Source organism: Homo sapiens, assembly GCF_000001405.40.
Source record: "Homo sapiens chromosome 1 unlocalized genomic scaffold, GRCh38.p14 Primary Assembly HSCHR1_CTG7_UNLOCALIZED".
Lineage (NCBI taxonomy): Eukaryota > Metazoa > Chordata > Mammalia > Primates > Hominidae > Homo > Homo sapiens.
Window position 1 is genome coordinate 113,780 of NT_187367.1, and position 22,834 is coordinate 136,613.

Consider the following 22,834-nt stretch of genomic DNA (forward strand, 5'->3'; position numbering starts at 1 on the left):
GATGCTGGGAGGGCAGCCAGCACCAGGCGTTTGTTGGCCAGGAGAGAAGCTGCCATCCAGGTGCACTCTGGAGCTCGTGCTTCAGTGGCACAAGGCTTTGGGAGTGAGGAAGCTGGGGGCTGGGGCAGGGCAGTCCTGCACCTCAGGGGAGGTGCAGAGTGAGGCCAGGAGGATGGAAAGAGTGCCAGAGAATGGGGGAAATCTGAGGCATCAGGAAAGGAAGACACAGGCCATGGAGAGGGCAGCTGGGCCCTGGGTGAGGCCGGCCCTCAGGAAGGAGGTGCCACAGGCAGGGGAGTGCCCAGATGGAGAGCCCAGGGGTATGGACCCACGGGTGTATGACAGTGGGGGTACTCCTGAAACAGAGCAGTGTTATCCAACAAGCAGGGTTGGGACAACTAGTTATTTCATTTAAAAAAACAGGTCAATGTCAGTCCTCATACTGTGCTTTAAAATAAGCTCCAGATGGACTCATGTTTTACATGTAAAGAAAAGAAGGCAAAAAGAAAATAAAGAAAAGGCTTGTAAGCAGGTAGTTAATTGGAGGCAATCCCAGGATGCAGGAGAGAGGGGATGGAGCCACAGCAGGTCTGGGGAAGGGAGAGAAGCCGGCCCCGAGACCGCAGCCCGAGGACCCATTCAGGCCAGCAGTGCCTTCTGTGCACTTCCACAAGGTCACACGTTCTTCCAAAGTTGCCATCATGGAGAGATAGGCTTCCATGTAGTCTTGACTCCACTGGATTTCAGTCCTTAGGTGACTTTTCCTGTGATCACACTCAGCCCTGATACAGTCATTGCTGGGGCCTCCCCTGGCTGGACGTTCCGCTTTTGGTTCACATTCTTTCCTCCTGCCCCGAGACTGGCCATGGGCCTCCCAAAGGCTAGCTGGGAGGACCTCCCTTCCACGGCTGTGCTCTTGCTCTGCCCATGCTGTCGCCTCCATCTCCACCTCCCTCTCCATCCTCACCACCAGCCCTCGAGTCAGTGGGGAGCTTTCCACTCACCAAGCCCAGGCAAGTGCATCGCGTGAATTTCTCTTGCGCCTCCCACTAGAGGTAGAGGCGCTGTTGTCACCCTATCTGCTGAGGATATGCTGGGGCTGGCAGGGGCCACCCAAGACCAAGGGTGTCACTGTCTCCATCCTGTGCCCACCCAGTCCTGCCCCCTGGGCTCCCTTCAAATCTTTTTTTTTTTTTTTTTTTTTGAGACAGAGTCCTGCTCTGTCTCCCAGGCTGCAGTGCAGTGGTACAATCTCAGCTCACTGCAATCTCTGCCTCCTGGGTTCAAGCGATTCTCCTGCCTCAGCCTCCCAAACTGCTGGGACTACAGGCACCCACCACCACACCCGGCTAATTTTTTATTTTTATTTTTGTATTTTTAGTAGAGATGAGGTTTCACTATGTTGGCCAGGCTGGTCTTGAACTCCTGACCTCGTGATCCCCCTGCTGCAGCCTCCCAAAGTGCTAGGATTACAGGCGTGAGCCACCACACCTGGCCCCCTTCAAATCTTAACAGAGAAGCCACCAAAGTCTCCTTGGGTCCATCACATGGATGGGCCTCCTGGGCCCCTCAGACCCTGGGCTTCCCTTGAGGTCCTGGAGCTATGTGGGCTCCAGCTCTGGGAAGGTGGACCCCCATGCATGTGTCCTGCCGTCACTGTCTCTATGGAGTCTGGCTCACACTAAGTGAGCCATAAGGCCTTCTTCAAGGTCATCTGTCCCACTGATTTCAGACTCAGGGCGGAGTGTGAAATCATCTGTCCCCCACAGTGCACTCAGAACCCTGTCTGGACTAGGGCACACACACATGCATGCGCATATGAACACACATATGCATATGCACGCACACATGCAAGGCTGCAAGTCTCATGCACACACACATGCACACACATGCACATGCATGCTCACATGCACAGGCACTCAGGCACCTAGAGCCTTCTCATCCTGCACTTTGAGTCCCCCCTCCCCTTGCCCATCCTTGCCCATCCTTCAAGGCCTCAGTCAAAAGCCATCTTTTACAAATTGTCTCTGGTTGACTTTCCTTTTTTTCCCTCTTAGAAGAAGCGATGCTGTCCTCAGTCATCAAGCGTTCACTAGGCGCTTGGTGTGTGCCAGGCCCCGATGTGGGTCTTGGGCATGTTCCAGTTCTCACGTCCTCAGGGCTCCTTGGTGAGTCGAGGGTGAGGAGGACACAGAGGCACAGGAGGCCATGGGGCAGGTCTGGGTGCACTCAGGCTCCAGAGCTCAGCCCTCCCTGCTGAGTCAGGGCGAGCAGGATACACGCCTGCTCCTGGAACTCAGTGGGTGAGGTGGACACGCATGCAGGGAGGTACCAGCCTCAGGGGCTGTGGAACAGAGAAAGGGAGCTTCCAGGACATCAAACAATTCCTGGAGTGCCAGGGCAAGAGGGGAATCTGGGTGGAGGAAAGTGTGAACAGGGCAGAGGTTGGAGGTGGTTGTGGCCCCCGAGCATGTCGGAGGCGACTGAGCTGCTCCTTGACTTTGGGCATCTTTGTTCGTCTCTGCATTTGCACATTTGTTGAACAAACCTACTGAGACACTTGTTTTCTTTCCATGGTCCATACATTAGGAATATAGAGTTAGCTTCCTGGGGAACATTTTAAGACGTATTCTTAGAGAAGAAACCAGGAAGGCATCCTTGTGGGACGTTGGTCCAGGATCTTGGGTGTGTCCTTTGGTCTTTTGTGGGTCAGGTTAGCAGGAATTGTGTCCTGAGGTGTTGGAACTGCAAAGTGCAGGTTCCCTCCTGCCCGCACTGATGCCTTCAGGGAATGGCCTGTCCGCTTTTCTAAGAAGAACACTTAACTCAGCCTTGGCTGACTTCAGCTACCTGTGCTTTCTCCAGCCAGGCTCTGTGTTTTGTGCTTTTACTCTCAAAACAACCCTATTATTATCCGTGTCCCACAGATGAGGATGCTGAGCCCCTGAGAGGCTCAGTAGGTGCCTGAAGGCATTCCAGCCAAGAGGTGGCAGAGCCAGGGCCAGCCTGGCCTGAGGACTCTGAAGCTCCCACAGGCACAGCTCCTTCATGCCAGCTCTGTGTCAGGATTTTCTGTGGTCATCACAGCCATCTTCCTGGTCGGCTAAGTTACAGACAGGGTGGAACTAGGATGGCCAAGCTGGAAGCAGAGCTCATTCCTGAGCAGGGCACCCGGGCCCTGCCTACGGTGCTGGGCAGGCTTCTGGTGTGGAGGGTGGGCTCAGATCCTGCTGTCCCTGTGGCTGTGGGAGGCTTTTCTAGGCACCCTCCTGACTGCTAACACCAGGAGGGCCTATGATATGGGACCGCTGCCCCATGACGTGTGCCAGGTTTCTGCACGCGACTGCTGGGAAAGGCTGGCCCTGGGCTGGGTGGACCCGCACTGCCTGCTGGCCCCTGCACCCAGATGGTGCAGCCCACACCCCTCTGATGTCCACCCATGCTCGGCTCTGGGACTTCCCTCCTTCCACCGTGTCTGACCCTGGTTGCCCTTGTTCTGCCACTGGCTTGTAGCAGCCCTTCCTGAAGCCACGTCCTCCAGGGAGATTTGATTATGTCCTGGTGTTGCAACCTCGCTAATGCAATCAGGAAGTTTTCTCAAGACTTCAGCTGCTTTGTTGGCAGCCAGGCCTGACTCTCAGCAGCTCTGCAGGCTGGAAGGGCCCAAGAGACCCCTCACCCACCTGGTGTCTCCAGCAGTGGGGAGGGCTCCGGGGCATAGCCTATTGCTGCTCTGCTCTCCTCCTTTCTTTGGGTAAGCTCCTTTGCTCTGATTTTATCTGGAATCATCGAGAGCCTCTATCTGTCTAGAAAAAGCACTTAGCAATGAGGAATCAGCACTGCGGAGAATACTCCAGAAAGCAGCCATTTTCCATCAAGATTAGGCTCTTAATTGAAAATTTTAAGAGGAGAGGAAATTAGGGGAGAATCCAGATATTCTCTCCATTATGGTAATTGGCTGTAATCAGAGCCCAAGAGCTGTGTTCAATCCTGGGGGTTCTTCCAGGATTACCAGAGCTGTCATAGTCACCTTCACTGACCTGCACTGGAGTCAGTGGGAGGGGCTGGCGGGGTCCGGGGCTGCTCTGGCAAGTGGATCCAGGAGGGCTGGGCTGGATCCAGGGGGCTGAGTTCAGAGGGGACTCTGCTTAGCAAGTGTGAAACACACGACAGGGCCTTCCAGGCAGAGGGAAGATTGAGAACTGCGGCCGAGCGAGTGCGTCCAGGGGCCCGAGTTTAGTTGAGGGCCTAAGTTTTCCCAGCAGGGCAAGGTTGAGGGTGAGGATGCTGCAGGCCAGTTTTCTATGGCCTCAGAATGAGGACAAGAAGGGGGAGATGGGCCACAGGGATGAGGGTGCCTGCTCCCTGCAGCAGTGTGCACACCACGGCTGTGCAGAGGCAGCAGGTGGCAGGTATTGGGAAGAAGCCCTTCCCTTGTGTGTCCTAGGGGCTGGGCACAGCCTGATGGGCCCCCTTTGCTCACAGTTGCAGAAGCCCATCCATGTAGGGTCCTGCTGAACTGGCTTCCATGGGGCTGGGAAGGACTGGCCTGGCCTCTTTGCTCACTTCACCTTATGGGCAGTGTCCTGCAGGTTTCTGTGAGCAGAGCAGACAGAAAGGAGATGCCCAGTGACGTCAGCTGTCCCCCACAGAGCTTCCTGGAGCCTGGGCTCCAGGCTGAGGGTCCTTGGACAGACGTCATCTCCCTGGCTTCAGCAGAATCACCCACAAACCCACCCTGTGCCCACCCTCCCATCACAGAGAGCAGCTGCTGGAGAAGGCAGCATGAGACTTTGAAGACCTCGAGGAGCAGGAGACACAGGAGACAATGGCCAGGATGGTCATGGTGGCGCGGCTATGCCATCACTGATTTCTGCCTACCTGCCCCCTAAGTCTCACTTGCTACTACTCTCAATTTCCTACTTAATGCTTCGGAGAGCACCAGTCCTGAGATGAGAGGCGGGATGTTCACTCTCTGGGAGTTGAGATGGAACCCAGGCAGTTAGAAAAAAGTGCCACAGCCACGTGCCGAGCCTACTACTTGTCAGGAGCTCAGTGAGTCACCCAATTCCTAAAACAACTGTGCTGCATGTGCTCCACCGCGCCTGGGCGACTCGGGGAAATGGGCTGCGGGAGGCTTAGTGACCTGCCCTGGGTGACACGGATGGCATGGATGCCCTGTCCGTGCACGGGGCTGTGCTAGGAGAGGACAGGATCATCCCCAGAAGCTGGTCCTGTGTCCACTGCTCACGGTGGCAGCTGCTTGGGCTGACAACGCCCCCCACCTCCTGATCAGATAGTGATATACTTGGTCCAAACTTCGAAAGTAAAAAAGTTAAAACAGAAAAATAGTCTCCTGGTCATTCATGCTCTCTGGTTCCCTTTTCATTAGTATCTCTTTCTCCTTCTATTTATGGATCTAGTTATTTAAAGCACAGATGGTGACATTCTGTACATATTCTGCATTTTGCTTTTTAAGTCTATTTTATTATGACGTACAATACATATAGAAAAGTGGAAAAAACTGAAATGAATGAATTTTCATGAAGTGAGCATTGGTGTAAACTGAGCCAGTACATTGGGAACCCCCTTCATTCTCCCTCCCAGTTACTGCACCATCCCTCCTGCCACAGGTAAATACTGCCCTGACCTTCATGGTAACTACTTGCTTTGCTTCCATTAGATATTCTATTTTTGTTTCAGCTGTGCTTTTGAACTTTATAGAAATGGATTCATACAGGGTGTATTCCTTCACATTGAGCTGGCTGTGTGCAGCATTGTGTGCAGTTGTTTCATATTGTAGCCGGGAACAGTGACTCATCTTCATTGCTCTTTAGCATTCCATTGTTTAATTGAATCCCAGTTTTCTTTTCCACTGTTGGTTGTGTTTAGATTTTTTTCAGTTTGGGGTTACTATGAAGGATGCTATAAAGAGCATTCTTGTACATGGCTCTTGTAGCACAGTGAACACATTTCTGTTGGGTGTAGAGATGTACGTATATGTGTGTGTGTGTGTGTGTGTATATATATATATATATATATATATATATACACCCCAAGGGGTAAAATTGTTGGATGTACATACCTTTGACTTCAGTAAATCATGCCAAACTGCTTTCCAAAGTGGTTGTTCATCTTTTTTTCCTTTTGTTTTTCAGTGGATCCTTATAGTTTGGGATTCTTCCATAATGGTACATATAGATGTGTCTCATTTTTTTAAACAGTTGCATAGTTTTCACAGCATGGACATAACATGATTTATTTAACCTGTCTTCTGTTGTTGGACTTCGTTATATTTATACTCAAACAATGCCACAATGAATAACCTTCTTCATAAGTTAATTAAATACTCGATGAAAAATACAGGTTTTTTTTCAGTTTATAAAAGTAATACTTGCTCACTGAGGAAAAAAAATCTGTAAATTACAGAAAAACACAAAGGAAATATATCCTCTGATCCAACCAGAAAGAAAACTACTTTTCCTATGTTGTGCGTAGCGCTCTAGTTTTTTCTTTCTTTATATCAATTGGATTTTTTTTTTTTTTTTTTTTTTTTTTTGGAGACAGGGTCTCACTGTGTCACCCAGGCCGGAGTGCAGTGGCATGATCACAGCTCACTGAAGCCTCGACTTCCCAGGCTTAAGTGATCCTCCTACCTCACTCAGCCTCCCGAGTAGTTGGGACCACAGGCATGTGCCACCACATCTGGCTATTTTTAATATTTTTTGTATAGATGGGGTTTCGCCATGCTGCTCAGGCAGGTCTCAAACTCCTGGCCTCAAGCCATCTGCTTGTGTTGGCCTCCCAAAGTGCTGGATTACAGGCATGCACCACCACCCCCGGCCTAATTGAATTTTTATTTTGGAAGAACCATATACCTTTATACATATTCTTTCTATGACTTATTTTCTGTAGTTGAAGTTCAAGGGTGTTTGACAGTGTGATGTGGTTATTGTTAACCTGTATGTGGGGGCATACAGATATGTTTTTTTACTTTTTCCCATAAGGCTAAGATCATCTCCAGAAATATTAATTTTTTAGACAGTGTGATTATAGTTATTTAATACTCATACTTATCAAAATATTGTATGTTAAAACCAATAACCATCTGAACTTATTTGAATATAGTTTTTCCTATTCTGTTCTTAGAAATTTCAGTCATTAACAATCTTTACACTTAGAAAGTGTTTTAATTTTACTTTGATGACAGGAATAGTGTTCTTCTCAATGAAATATATAATAGCAGCTTATAAGTGATAACTGTTTTCATTCTGTTTTTAAGAGAAAATACTTTGGTCTTTTTTACCATAGTTTAGTGTGTGATGTCATAAAAATGGGCTGTAGCCATTTAAATTCTTGTTCAAGTGCAGAAACTAAGAGACTGCAGTTTCTATTAAGCCATGTCAACTCCTATTAGGAGACCTTTAGTGGTTCCAGTTCCAGGGCCTTCTTGAAGAAATTGTGATACTTGTGTAAGTATATCTAGAGTTTTCTTTCCAGCATTGGCTAAGTCACATAGCTGAGAAATATGATACATGGAGAAGGTTGCTGACTGGATGAACTTTTCTACATTGAATACTTTAAATCTGGATTCTAGAATAAAATATATTGATGCATATTTGAGTTGTCAACTGTTTATGTCTTGTTCTTTTCAGCTTCAACATTGCTTTATGGCATGTGTGGTCGTTTTTCACTCCATTGTTGTTGTTTACCCAGTTTATGGGGGTTATAATGTTTATCACACTCCTTGGATGATTTCCGAAGGTAAGATATCTGGAATGGTTTTTCTAAAAATGAACTCATTTGAAAAATGTCTTTTATGACAATTTTCAGTGGATGGAGCTGTAACAGACTATTTGTGAATTATTTTCAGTCATGTTTACACCAGAGTTGTCCACACTAGAATTATCCATTCGTTGAACTCTGAGATAGACTCCTTTTTTTTTGAGACAGTGTCTCACTCTGTTGTCCAGGCTGGAGTACAGTGGCATGATCACCGCTCACTGCAGCCTTGATCACCTGGGGGCTCAAGCGATCCTCCCACCTTAGCTTCCCAAGGAGCTGGTATTACAAACATGTGCTACCACGCTTGGCTAATTTTTAAAATTTTTTTTGTAGAAACAGAGTCTCCTTATTTTGCCCAGGCTGGCAGGGGTTGGGGGCTGAGACTCTTTCTTTTGTAAAAGTTGGTTCTAAGTGACTACTTTTTAGAGAAGGTACCCTGCCTTTCAAAGACCTCATAAAGACAGGATTTGTACCTTCCAATATAGTTAAATTCACACATTAGACCATTTTATGTTGAAATTATATTAATTTGTGTCAGCTTATATTCAATGACTGTTGGCTAGATCATTCTTAAGAAATGGGAATACAGGAAGAATGGACAATTTTACCCAACTGGGAAAAAAAATTCTACCATCTTCTAATTATTCTGACTTCCTCATAAAAATGTGTTGGATGACACAATCAGCTTTTGTTTGGTGTTATTTATAGAATTTCTGCCTCCCTACAGATCACCCCATCCTGAGATCTGCTGCCTTACACAGTGGAGGCTGTTTTCTGAGTGTCGGATAACTCTGTTATTAAATAAGTGCATATTGAGAATACTCACTCCAGATGCTTAGAGGCATGTTGAGAAGGACAAAGATAGTGCCTCCTGTCAGGTCACTTACATCAGAACTTGCAGGAAACCTGCTTTATACAGCAGTTGACAGGTGTGGAAATTGAAGCTCATGGAAATGAAAGTTAATACACTAAATTTTCAAGGAGTTAATGAAAACTGACATTTCTGCTAAAAACAGCATGTTCTCCCTGTGGGATTTTAAAGGAAGGTCAATGGTAACTGTACAAAGAAGAAATGGACACAGTCTCATTGTTAGCAGTCTGAAAATAGTTGCTAGCACCTCCATGCCCACGCCAATGTCTCCAGCCTCTTTCAGGCACCTTGCTGTGTCTTGGAACCACTGGGAGCCCTCACAGGAGGCCCTTCGTTCCTGTATGCATGTGGTGCCACAAGCTGCTTTGGGCCCGGAGGAATCCTACACATCTCAGAACACTTCCTCACCTGACCCTGTCACCCATCTCTCCCCTTCTCATGTGCTCAGCCCCTTCTTTGACTCTTGAATTTTGAGTTTTTACAGATGTTTGGGAGCTCTTACCCTGACATGAATTTACAATTGTAATGGAGACTCAGACAACGTTGTAGATCACAGAGTGAACTATGCTTTTTAGTGTTAAATGCAATAGCTTAAGATAGAATGTTTTACTTGTTACATAAATGCTGGTTTTCTTTCAGATTTAAGGATATATACTTTTTTTTTTTAAGAGATAGGGTCTTCTATGTTGCCCAGGCTGGCTTTGAACTCCTGGGATCAAGTGATCCTCCTGCCTCAGCCTTCAAAGTAGTTGGGACTACAGGCCCACGCCACCGTGCATGGCTGGACACGTAAATTTGAAGTGAATGGTTAAACATCCAGCTAGCTGAAAGCATGACAGACCCTAACAGAAAAGCTACAGTGTGTTTTTGCAGCTATGAAGTGAATGGTTTCCTGGGGAAAATTGTGACTTTGTATAACTATTTTTGAAACCAGAATAAATTATATTTCACTTGCATATTCTTAAATTATTAAAATTTTCAGAAGTCAGTGATACAGAAATACTATTTTGCAATGTTAATCTGTTTGAGTCTTTGGAGAAAGTGGTTTCATTATAGGTACATGATGCACTCTTAATATTTTAAACAAATAGTTCACTCTTCCATTTAAGGGATAGCAGTTCCTTGTATAAAATGACTGGATATGTATAAAGGAATTACGTTGTCATGTGCCTTTAACCAGCTTTAGTAATTACTATAATCTCATATTTATGATCGTTTTGTTAGGTGACAGGACCAAATGAAAATATTTTATGTTTTCCCGTCACTTTAGATTTTATCATTGTGTAAATTACTGGGTTTTTAGCATTTCCTAATGTGAAGTTTTAATCATTTTTAAGTATACATATTTTTTTCTGTACCATTTAAATAAAATATTTTTATAACTTTCTTGTGAGTTTTGTTCATGCAAACTTTGGAATGACTTCTGGTTTTTAGCTATTAGCACTTTGAATTAACCATAGAAATAACAAGGGCTAACTCTGTTCTTCAAAGACTTTATAAAGACAGTATTTGCACTTTCAAATGCAAATATATCTACATTAAATCTAAACAGCATAAGCATTGTGACAGAATGTACCTCATGTTGATTGTTTTCTCTGTAAGGTGACTTCTAGTAATGATTTGACTTAATCACCACTTGTGTCTGGTTCAGATCATACCCTGCCATTTACTAGCTTCAAGACCTTCAGTAGTACAGGTTTAGTATCCCTAATTTCAAAATCTGAAACTTTTTGATTGCTGATATGGCACTCAAAGGAAATGCTCATTGGAGCATTTCGGGTTTTGGAATACAATGCAAGTATTCCAAAATCCAAAACACTTCTGGTCCCAAGCATTTCAGAGAAGGGGTAGTCAGCCTGTAATCTTTTTTCAGCTGTGAAGTGGGAACAATATCTGTCTTGTAGGGTTGTGGGTAATAGTAATAATGTTTGTAAAACACCAATTACAGTGCCTGACACAGTAGGTGTCCACTCAATAAATGGTAATGGAGAGGGAAAGAAAGGGAAAGCAGAATCTAGGATCAGGAATATCACATCCCGTCATGATGTTTGCAAAGGGGAAAGTCAGGCATGATGAGTAGACAGAAGTAAACCCAGTTTGTTGTCATGGGTATGTGAAGGTGTGGCGAGAGTGTCATTTAAAATAGGGAGCAAGGCCAGGCAAAGGCCACAATCAGGCAGCCGAATCAGGCAGTGATGAATCAATCAGGCAGTGATGTGAGGGTCCGGCACAACCGAGGCAGCAGCCCGGGAAGGGAGGACATTTGGATCACACTCCCTGGAGGGAGCTTGGGTGGAGAGTGCCCCAGTGTCAGCCTTCACACATTTTATATCTTTTTTTTTTTTTCTTGAAGAGTATGTTTACAACATGGATAGAAATCTAAGGCTGGCATGTGTTTAAAACAATTAGTTAAAACCCAGTTTCCCAAGAGCTAATAACTGGCCAATTAGGATGGTATGAAGATTGTCCTATTACTTAAAAAAAGACTTTTTGAGACAGAGTCTTTAACTTGTCATAACATGTCTGAACAGGATCTAGTTTGAGACACTAAGAAGGATAAGACATCAGTTTGAAAAGAGACCACATTAATTCTGCTAAAATCGAAGCAAGAACAAACATCAATTTATTATGAAGCTTGGGTGAAAAATGGTAAAATCACTAATGCTTCATGAAAAGTTTATGGGAACAATGCCCCAAAGAAATCAACAGCTTACAAATGAATAACTTGTTTTAAGAAGGTATGAGATGATGTTGAAGAGGAAGCCCTCAGTAAGAGACCCTACACACGAATCTTTGAGGAAAAAATTCATCTTGTTTATGCCCTAATCAAAGAGGACTGATGATTAATAGCAGTTAACAATAGCAGAAACAATAGACAGTGTCATAGACGTCAAATTGGTTCAGGTTACACAATTCTGACTGAAAGCCAACTTTGCACTTGATGGGTGCCAAAACTGTTGTGCCCAGATCAGTTGCAAACAACAGCAGAGCTTTCAATGGAAATTTAAACAGTGGGATCAAGATCCTGAAGCATTTGTTCGAAAAGTTGCAACAAGTTATGAAACATGGATTTCGTAGTACTATCCTGAAGACAAAGCACAATCAAAGCAATGGCTACCAAGAAGTGGAAGTGGGTCAGTCAAAGCAAAAGCAGACCAGTCAAGAGCACAACTCATAGCAACAGTATTTTGGGGCTCAAGGCACTTTCCTTGTTGACTTTCAGGAGGACCAAAGAATGGTAACATCTGCTTATTATGAGAGGGTTTTGAGAAAGTTACCCAAAGCTTTAGCAGAAAATTCTTGGGAAAATTTCAGCAGAGTCCTCCTCCACCATGACAATGCTTCTGGTTATTCCTGTCATCAAGGGCAATTTTGGGAGAATTTTGATGGGAAATCATTACAGTCCTGATTTGACTCCTCCTAACTTCTTTTTGTTTCGTAATTTTAATCTGTAAAGGATACCCTTTTCAGTTAATGTGTAAAAGACTGCATTGATATGGTTAAATTCTCAGGACCTTCAGTTCCTTAGGGATGGGCTAAATGGCTGTAGCATGACTTATAGAAGTGTCTTGAACTTGATGGAGTTTATGTTGAGACATAAAGTTTATATTTTCAATTCATTTTTTCCAAGTTTTGAAGTCCAAGGGTACATGTGGAATGGCTAGATGGAGTTCATTAATATATGCATTACTTTGCATACTTATTTTTTGTGGTGAGATTTCTTAAAATCTACTCTTCACAATTTTTAAAATGCTATAAATTGTTATTAACTATAATTACTAAGCTGTACAATAGATCTCTTGAACTTACTCTTCTTACTTAAATGAAATTTTGTACCCTTTGACCAACATCTCCCAACCCACAAATTCCACCTGCTGCCCAGCCCCTGGTAGCCACTCTTCTACTCTCTACCTATATGACCTCAGCTTTTTTAGATCTACATATAAATGAGATCATGTGACATTTGTCTTTCTGTGCTTGGCTTATGTCACTTAACATAGTATCTTCCAGGTTCATATCCATACTGTTACAAATGTCAGGATTTCCTTTTTTTTTTCTTTTTTGAGACAGGGTCTGGCTCTGTCACCAAGGCTGGAGTGCAGTGGCACAATCTCAGCTCACTGAAACCTGGACTTCCCAGGCTCAAATGATCCTCCTACCTCAGCCTCCCAAGTAGCTGGGACTACAGGTGCACACCACTGGGTTTAGCTAATTTTTTTTTTTTTTTGAGAGAGAGTTTCACTCTTGTTGCCCAGGCTGGAGTGCAATGGTGTGATCTTGTCTCACCCACAACCTCTGCCTCCTGGGTTCAAGTGATTATCCTGCCTCAGCCTCCTGAGTAGTTGAGATTACAGGCATTTTTAGTAGAGAAGGGGTTTCTCCATGTTGGTCAGGCTGGTCTCAAATTCCTGACCTCAGGTGATCCACCTGCCTCAGCCTCCCAAAGTGCTGGGATTACAGGCATGAGCCACCACACTCAGCCTTTTTATTTTTATTTTTATTTTTTTGTAGAGTTGAGGTTTTGCCATGTTGCCCAGTTGGTCTTGAACTCCTGGGCACAAGCAGTCCACCCACCATGGCCTCCCAAAGTGTTGGGTTTACAAGCGTGAGCCATTGTGCCCGGCCATTTCCTTCTTTTTAAGGTTGAATAATATTCTGTTGTGTATGTATACAATGTGTATACATACACACATTTTCTTTGTCCGTTCATTCATCCATTGATGGATGCACAGGTTAATTCCATATCTTGACTATCATTTGTGTGTTATAGATTAAATTTTTGCTCACCAGAAGATCTGTTGAAATCTTAACCCCTGGTTCCTCTGATTGTGGCCCTATTTGGAAATGGAGTCTTTGTAGATTTAATTAAGATGTAAATTACAATGAAGTCATACTGGAGTAGGTTGGGCCCTTAACCCATTATGACTGGTGTCTTTATAAGAAGAGGAAAAGAGACACAGATACAAAGGAAAGATGGTCAAGTCACAACAGAGGCAAAGATTGGAGTGATACAGCCACAAGCCAAGGAATGCTAGGGGTTGCCAGCAACCAGCAGAAACTGGAAGAGGCTGGCGATGACCCCCCATTGGAGCCTTCAGAGGGAACTTGGCTCTTCTGACGTCTAGATTTTGGACTTCTGGCCTCCCAAACTGTGAGAGAATAAATTTTCATTGTTTTGAAGCCACCCCGTCAGTGGCACTTTGTTAGACCCACCCACTTGGCTGTGCACAGTGACTCATGCCTGTAATCCCAGCACTTTGGGAGGCCGAGGTGGGTGGATCATGAGGTCAGGAGCTCAAGACCAACCTGGCCAACATGGTGAAATCCCATCTCTACTAACAATACAAAAAATTATCCAGGCATGGTGGTGTGTGCCTGTAATCCCAGCTACTCGGGAGACTGAATCAGGAGAATCACTGGAACCCAGGAGACAGAGGTTGCAGTGAGCCAAGATCACACCACTGCACTCCCGCCTGGGTGATAGAGTAAGATTCTGTCTCAAAAAAAAAAAAAAAAAAAAAAAAAAGAAGAAGTGAATACACTGTCTAACTCTTTTGTTCTTAAAAATACTGGGATTACATAGCTACCACCAAAGGTGACTGGGGGCAAAATGTGCTAATTGCCCCTTGGGACCTTCTATTATCTCTGGTAGTTGAGAGTGCCAGTGGGCCTCTGGCCTTGTGAAATCCTGTCAACTTCACTGGAAGAAGGGAGCTCATGTGATCATTAAAAAGGAAACAACAGGTGCTGGAGAGGATGTGGAGAAATAGGAATGCTTTTACACTGTTGGTGGGAGTGTAAACTAGTTCAACCATTGTCGAAAACCGTGTGGTGATTCCTCAAGGATCTAGAACTAGAAATACCATTTGACCCAGCGATCCCATTACTGGGTATATGCCCAAAGGACTATAAATCATTCTACTATAAAGACACATACACATGTATGATTATGGCGGCACTATTCACAATAGCAAAGACTTGGAACCAACCCAAATGTCCATCAATGATAGACTGGATTAAGAAAATATGGCACATGTACACCATGGAATACTATGCAGCCATAAAAAGGATGAGTTCATGTCGTTTGTAGGGACATGGATGAAACTGGAAACCATAATTCTGAGCAAACTATCGCAAGGACAGAAAACCAAACACTGCATGTTCTCACTCATAGGTGGGAATTGAACAATGAGAACACTTGGACACAGGATGGGGAACATCACACACCGGGGCCTGTCATGGGGTGGGGGGAGGGGGGAGGGATAGCATTAAAAGAAATACCTAATGTAGATGACGAATTAATGGGTGCAGCACACCACCATGGCACATATATACATATGTAACAAACCCGCATGTTGTGCACATGTACCCTAGAACTTAAAATATTAAAAAAAAAAAAAAAGAAAAAAAGGAAGGGAGCCCATGCCCGAGGGCACCATGCCTCCCTGTCCATCTGCGTGGTACTGAATCATCACTGGGAAGCAGCTGCCTGGTCAGGACGTTTCCAGCTTTTACACTGATTGAGCCATGCCACACAGTTCTCAGGACACAGTGTGGGCAGGGGTAACATGCACCAAATGTGGTGAAAACAGCAGGCCTGGGCACCACCAGAGCACCATCTCTGACCCCTTGTATCTGCCCATCATGGAGCAGGGGTCAGTCGTAAGAAATTGGGGGCCCCGTGTGGCTCAGACTTTTGAAAAAAATCTCACTGGTGGAAGGCAGAACACAGTGTGGGTAAATCTCTCAGTTTTATTTATGTATTTATTGAGATGGAGTCTCTGTCATCCAGGTTGGAGTCCGGTGGCACAATCTTGGCTCACTGCAACCTCTGCCTCCTGGGTTCAAGAGATTCTCCTGCCTCAGCCTCCCAAGTAGCTGGGATTACAGGTGTGCACCACCACACCAGCTATTTTTTGTATTTTTAGTAGAGACGGGGTTTCACCATGTTGGCCAGGCTAGTCTCGAACTCCTGACCTCAAGTGATCTGCCTCGACCTCCCAAAGTGCTGGGATTACAGGCTCTCAGTGAGTTTTAACATTGTCTTGAGATTACAATAAAGGGGGCTGACTTTAGCCTCCAGAAACTTTCATTTCATTGCTTCTTAAAAAAATGCAGGCCAGGTGTGGTGGCTCATGCCTGTAATCCCAGCACTTTGGGAGGCCAAGGGGTGGATCACCAGGTCAGGAGTTGAGACCAGCCTAACCAACATGGTGAAACCACATCTCTACTAAAAATACAGAAATTAGCCAGGCATGGTGGCAGGCGCCTGTAATCCCAGCTACTCGGGAGGCTGAGGCAGGAGAATCGCTTGAACTCAGGAGGCAGAGGTTACAGTGAGCTGAGATGATTGTGCCACTGCACTCCAGCCTGGGTAACAGAGTGAGACTGCATCTCAAAAACAAACAAACAAACAAACAAACAAACAAACAAACAAAAGTGCAGGTAGCCCAGAGACAGGCATTCCACTTGATTTTCAGATAGTGACTGAGTGTTATTTATCTTTGTACTCAATGGGTTAAGGTACTGCTAGCTGCTGTAACATTTCAGACTTTGGTGGCTTAGCACAATGGAAGTTTATTTCTCACTGATGTAAGGTCCAGCTTCGGGAGGAAAAGCCACCTCACTAGTCACTGGGGAGACACGCAGACAGGCTCTTCCATCTTCAGCTCAGCCTCCCAGGTTGCTCTGGCTGTTGGTAGGAAGAGGAGGGGAGAAGGTGGAGGATTCCCAGTAGGTTTGCTGGATCCTCTCTCTGGACTGCCTTTCCAGACCCCTGCTCCCTTCCACCTGGCCATCCACTCCTAAGCCTAAAGAATGTGCAGGAGGCTGGACGTGGTAGCTGGAGCCTGTAATCCCAGTGCTTTGGGAGGCTGAGGTAGGAGGATGCCTTGAGCCCAGGAGTTTGAGATCAACCTGAGCAACACAGCGAGACCCCTGTCTCTACAAAAAACAATTTTAAAAAACTGAGCCAGGCGTGGTAGCACACACCTGTAGTCCCAGCTATTTGGGAGGCTGAGGTGGGAGGAGCACTTGAGCCCCAGAGTTCGAGGCTGTAGTGAGCTATTATCACACCACTTCATTCCAGCCTGGGAGACATAGGGAGGCCCTGTCCTTATTAAAAGATAAAAATAAAATAAAGAAAGAAAGAAGACTGTGCAGGTGTTGCCTCCTCCCTGAACCTCGCAGCCTTCCTGCAGACCTGGGCTCCTCCCAGGCCCCTGGTGGTAGCCCTGCTCAAGGGTGCTGTGCTGCTTACTCTGTCCCCACCCCCAAGCTCTTAGAAGTTGAGGGCTAAGTCTCACAGGTCACGCTCCCCAGCTTCCCAGTCAAGGCTCATTAGCTGTTTGTTTATTGCTGTTTCTCTACCTGAACATCAGCTCCACCTGAACAGAGCCTTTCATAGCTGAAACCCCAGCGCCTACAACAGAGACCAGCAAATGATTCATAGGTCAACACATACATGTGTGTTGATCAAATGAATGAATGCATGAATTGGAAGAATGATGGCGGCAAGGCAAGGTCCCCCAGGTTGACTTCTTGCCGGCCCAGGACTCCCCACCCCTCCTTTACTAGTCAGGACCTGCTATTGCAATTTGCCGCGCTTAGCGCAAAACAAAAACCTGGGCCCTCTTGTTCAAAAATTAAGAATTTCAAGACTGCAAGAGCCTTAAACCAAGAGGGAGAGGGTGTCTTCCGGGGCCCAGCCCCGGGCTGCTGCATGGTGGGATGGGGGCTCGCCCCAGGCTCGCTCCCAACTCCCCTCTACAACCTGCAGCTGGGGGGCTGGGGTCCACCGCCTCCTGTCAGCCACGCCCGACCGGTAGAACGCTCTTCTGCAGAAACTTCCCAGACCTCCACTTAATGGCACCCGAGCAGGGCGCCCTGGCAGACGCAGTCTCCTTCCGGGAGCAGGCAGGTGCAAGGCAGGCACCGGGGCTTTGGAAGGGGCTGGTGGAGATGCTTGGGCGCCGGTTGCCCCAGGGCAGACCCTGGGGCCTCCCTCATTCCAGCTCCTCTGCGTCCAGAATGGCTGCCGCTCCTTTGGGGGAGGGTGCGGGATGGTCTCTTTTCTTAGAAAGTGGCTCAGGTCTTATTCTGCGCCTGGGCGTCTCGCAGCCGACACACAGGCACACCAGATGGACAAACAGAAAAACCCACAGAAGGCGGCCCCTCCCCCAATTCAGAGAGCCAGTGACTGGCGCTCCTCCACCCCTAACCAGACACACCCGAAAACAGACGGCCAGACACAGAGTGACCAGCACAGAGAAGACAATACAGAAATACGCAGGGACAAGGACAGACCATCGGACGCTCGGCCACGGACCCAGGCAGGATCACCTGGACCTCTGGGTTCCCCAACGGAGACCCTCGGGGAAGGCCCGGAGCATCGCACTCCCCTGTGGAGCCCCGTGCGCCCCACTTGGCAGCAGCCACGCCCCCCGCGCACACCCCACTTCGGGCTGGCTCTGGAAGACCCCCTCTCCCCAGCCCCGCAACCCCGGGACTCTGGGAGGCATCTCTCGTCACCCAGCGTTTCTGAGGCGCCGGGACAGGGGCTGGGTGGGTGGGCGTCGGCGTAGGGGTGAGGGCTGCAGACGGTGGGCGGGGGCCGGGCGCGCGGGCAGAGGTGCGGGAGGACGCGCTAGTGTCGGGGCAGGGCTGGCCAGTGTCCCAGGGATCAGGAGCCGGGAGCGGTCCGCGTGGGTCCCGGAGGGGACAGATGGCTGCCCCGGGCGTTGCCCAGTGAGGGGCAGTGGGCAAGGGAGCTCGTAGAATCCCGGGTCAGCGGGGTGAGGCGCTGGGTAAGTGGACAGGGTGGTACCTTGACTGAGGACGAAGGGGCAGAAGAGGGGAGGGCGGGCGTCGGGAAGTGACAGGAGACGGGGCAGGTTGTCGGGGGCGTGGGGTAGGAATCGGAGGGGAGTTGAAAAGGGGGGGGCTGGTTGGCAGAGGCGTCCGAGCAAGGACAGGAGCCAGGAGCGCAGGCGGGGCCCGACGGCAGCCACCCCCGGGGCCAGACTTGGCGCGGGTGTCTTGAAGATGCTTGAGGGCCTGGGGTCGCCCGCCTGGCCCCGGGCAGCTGCGAGCGCCTCAGTCGCGGGGTCATCGGGGCCCGCGGCCTGCCCGCCTCCCTCGCCGTCGGCCCCGAGGTGCCCGGAGTCCCCGGCCCCCCGGAGGGGCGGTGTGCGCGCCAGCGTCCCACAGAGGCTGGCCGAGATGCTGAGCAGCCAGTATGGGCTGATCGTGTTCGTGGCGGGGCTGCTGCTGCTGCTGGCCTGGGCCGTGCACGCCGCGGGCGTGAGCAAGAGCGACCTGCTGTGCTTCCTGACGGCGCTCATGCTGCTGCAGATGCTGTGGTACGTGGGCCGCAGCTCCGCGCACCGCCGCCTCTTCCGTCTCAAGGACACGCACGCCGGCGCCGGCTGGCTGCACCGGCTGGTGAGTCCAGGCACCGGGCAAGCGGGTCTCTGCCTCCTCGCCCGCTGGCTGCATCCTGAGACGGCTCTGCCCCCTTCCTACCACTGCCGTCTTCCCTTCAGCCTTTTCTGCCTTGGTCTCTCTGTGCATCTTTCCTAGCTTTCCTATCTGCCCTTCCTTCTTTCCTCTCTCTCTCTCTCTCTGAAGCCTGGGTCGTCGCAGGAGCCTCCTCTCCGCCTCCAGACGCTTCCATCATTACAGCCACAGTTACAGAAACCTCTCCTGTCCTTCCCTGGCTTAAAGCCATACAGTGGCCCTACTGACCCCATGAGGGAGGTCACGCTCCCTCTCCTGACACTCAGAGCCTTCTAGCACCCGGCCACCGAGGGCCCGTTTCCTTTGATCCCCTTCTTTGTTCTCATCCTATGCTGGGGTCATTCTCGAGGACTTTCTCTCCTGTCGCAGGATCTCTGCCTCTGCACATTCAGCACCTTTGGTTCCCTCCTCCAGGAATGTCTTTTCCACTCTCCCACCTGCCCCTCTGCTTTCCGAGACAGGCCTCAGGCCTCACCCCATTCTCCCCGCGAAGCTTCTCCGACCCCCTTCTCTTCCCCGCTTTGCAGGTCTGACCGCACGCTCCCAGCCCGCACTGGGTTCCAGTGTTCTTGTCGACATGTCTGTACCCTCCACTCCACTGGGGAGCTCTGTGATCCCTGTCTCTCGGTCCTAGAGCCACCTCAGGGCCTGGCACAAGTGGGTGTTGAGAAAATGAGGGGGGATGAATGATGTAATGAATGCGTGGATGCAGGGTGGGGCAGAGAGGGATAGAGGCTCCTGCTGGTACTCACGGGCATTGGCTGAAATCGTCAAGATAGGAGCTCTTCCTTTCTCAAGGGGCTGCCACATCTTTTTTTTTTTTTTTTTTTTTTTTTTTTTTTTTTGAGACAATGTTGCTCTATCTCCCAGGCTGGAGTGCAGTGGCACAGTCACAGCTCACTACAGCCTCTTCCTCCTGGTCTCAAGCAATCCTCCCACTTCAGCCTCCTGAATAGCTGGAACTATAGGTACACATGGCCTTGCCTGGCTAAGTTTTGTTATATTTTGTACAGATAGAGCCTCGTTGTGTTGTCTCCTGTTCTCAAACTCCTGGCCTCAAGGGATCCTCCTGCCTTGGCCTCCCAAAATGATAGGATCACAGGCATGAGCCACTGTGCCTGGCTGGGGTTGCCAGTCTTGAATGGGAGACAGACATGGTGCAGGTGAAAGGGAGGAGGCCGTGGGGAGCATGCTTGTGAAGAAAGCTTCTGTCTGAGTAACCTTCCCAGGAGAAGCCGACTGCATTTCACACCACGTGGTCCAGACACATCACACATTGCCACTTGGATTCTCATATTAGACCTGAATTTAAATCTCCATTAGAGTGGGGCTTCCGTGTTCCTTGCATGCATGACCTCGGGCAAGTTGCTTGATTGCCTTCCTTACCCTGAACCCTGGTGTCGGCATCTGTAGAATGGGGATCTCACACTGGATAGGATCCAGTGATTGATGAGGTGGCTGCCCAGCACACACTAGGCCTCCTTTCTGCACTTCTTTCAAAGGTCCTGGCCAGATGCCACCTTCTTCACAAATGCCTGGCAGGAATTACTCCTCACTTCCATGGGCCACCATGGCCCTCCTTCTGTAAAGCTCTTTTGGTCCTTGTCTGTTTCTGCCTTGTATTATGACTGTTGAATATTAGCCTTATCATCCAGAAGAGATTTTAGACTTCTTAGGCTCAGGGACTGGATCTAGTTCATCTTGCTTTTGGGGAAATTTGACACCATTGCAGGGTGGCCCAAATTCCTGTTCTGAAATTGGTTGTTTTAGGGAAGTTAATGGTTTTGTGACTCTGTGAATGACAGTGAATGTGGTGCTGTTTAAAACAAGGCACAAAGTGTTATTTTAGGATATTGACTTACACAGGCTAAAAAGTATTATACACATGAGCCTTTACCTGTGTTTTCCTACAGTCAAAGCCCCCTTGTTTGTTCCTCACTTCTTTTTCTCCTCCATCCTTTTTTCTCCCTTCTTCCTTCCCTCTTTCTCCTTTCCTTTCTTCCTCTTCCCTCCCTCCCTATTCCCTCCCCTTCCCTTTTCTCTCCCTTTTCTTCCTTTTTATCTTTTTTTTGAGATGGAGTCTTGCCCTGTCACCCAGGCTGGAGTGCAATGGTGCGATCTCGGCTCACTGCAACCTCCGCCTCCCGGGTTCAAACGATTCTCCTGACTCAGCCTCCCAAGTAGCTGGGATTATAGGCGCTTGCAACCATGCCCAGCTATTTTTTGTATTTTTAGTAGAGACGGGGTTTCATCATGTTGGCCAGGCTGGTCTCGAACTCCTGACCTCGTGATCTGCCTGCCTCAGCCTCCCAAAGTGATGGGATTACCAGTGTGAGTCACCATGCCCAGCCTCCCTTTCCTTATTTTTTTCCTCATTTTCTTTCTCTCTTCTCCTCCTTCATTCTTCCTTCCTCTCTTCCTTCCTCTAGCCTTCCCTCCACTATCCCTCTTCCCTCTCTCCTCTCTTTCTCTTCCTTCCTCTCTTCCTCTCTCCTCTGCTGTTTTTGTTTTTGTTTTTGAGATGGAATCTCACTCTGTTGCCAAGGCTGGAGTGCAGTGGCTAGATCATGGGTCACTGCAACCTCCATTTCCTGGGTTCAAGTGATTCTCCTGCCTCAGCCTCCTGATTAGCTGGGACTACAGGTGCACATGCCACCACACCTGGCTAATTTTTGTATTTTTTAGTAGAGACAGTGTTTCACCATGTTGGCCCAGTTGGTCTCAAACTCCTGAGCTCAGGTTATCTGCCTGCCTTTGCCTCCCAAAGTGCTGGGATTACAGGCATGAGACACCACGCCCAGCCTGGTGCATTTAGAATGTTCCTCCTTCTCCTTCTCCTCTCCTTCTCCCCCTCTCCCTCCCCCTCCCTTCCCCCTTCCCACCCTCCCCTTCCCCCTCCTCCTCCCTCTTCTTCTTCTTCTTCTTCTTCTTCTTCTTCTTCTTCTTCTTCTTCTTCCTCTTTCTTCTTTTTCTACTCAGTCTATCCTTATCCAAGGAATGCTCTTCTTTATATTGAAGTGCAGTTAACTTCCCAGAACCATCATCCTCTTCCCTGGAGCTTCTATCATCATTCACTTATTTATCCACCATGCATCCATCCACCCATCCACACTTATTCATCATCCATCCATCCATCTATCCATCCATCCATCCATCCATCTGTCCATCCATCCGTGTTTTTTTGTTCTTCCTCTCTCTCTGCCTCCTTTCAGGTTGACTCCGAGCATTGGCGCCTGAGTCTATGGGTGAATGGTTGCACCATTTCCCAAGATTGGGAAGCCAAAGGGAAGAGCAGGGTGGGGACACAAAACCAATGACATGTTACAGTTCTCTTATGGACATGCTACATTTGAGGTGTCTTTGGGACACTAAGTAGAGAGGGAATAAATGGGCAAGGTAGAGAGAGCACGTGATAGGTGTTCAGTAGGTGGTAGCTCTTTAGACATTCAGTGAGTTGCCCCATAATAATGTAATTCAAGTGAGGTGTGTGTATCATGGAAATGGTGTTGGCTCTGGAGGGCTTGGCTTGAGGTCTCAGCTCTGTCACCTTCACCTTTCTGAGTTCTGCTTTCCTCATCAGTAAGATAAGAATCCCAGTCGACTCTCTGGGAGGAGCTGGGGGATGTTGAGAGAAGCAGTTTGCAAAGCCCTGGCCATTCC

At 48.1% G+C, this 22,834-nt stretch overlaps 1 long non-coding RNA gene and 1 pseudogene across 1 annotated transcript; both read left to right on the forward strand.

The window, feature by feature from the left end:
* The first annotated feature begins 7,104 nt into the window (after positions 1-7,104).
* LOC107987365 (uncharacterized) lies at positions 7,105-9,609 on the forward strand. The gene is made up of 2 exons (XR_001756123.2): positions 7,105-7,764; positions 8,513-9,609. It is a non-coding gene; the product is annotated as an uncharacterized LOC107987365 (long non-coding RNA).
* Positions 9,610-18,997: 9,388 nt separating this feature from the next.
* Positions 18,998-22,834, forward strand: part of LOC102724459 (proton channel OTOP1-like) — a 31,365-nt pseudogene continuing 27,528 nt past the window's right edge.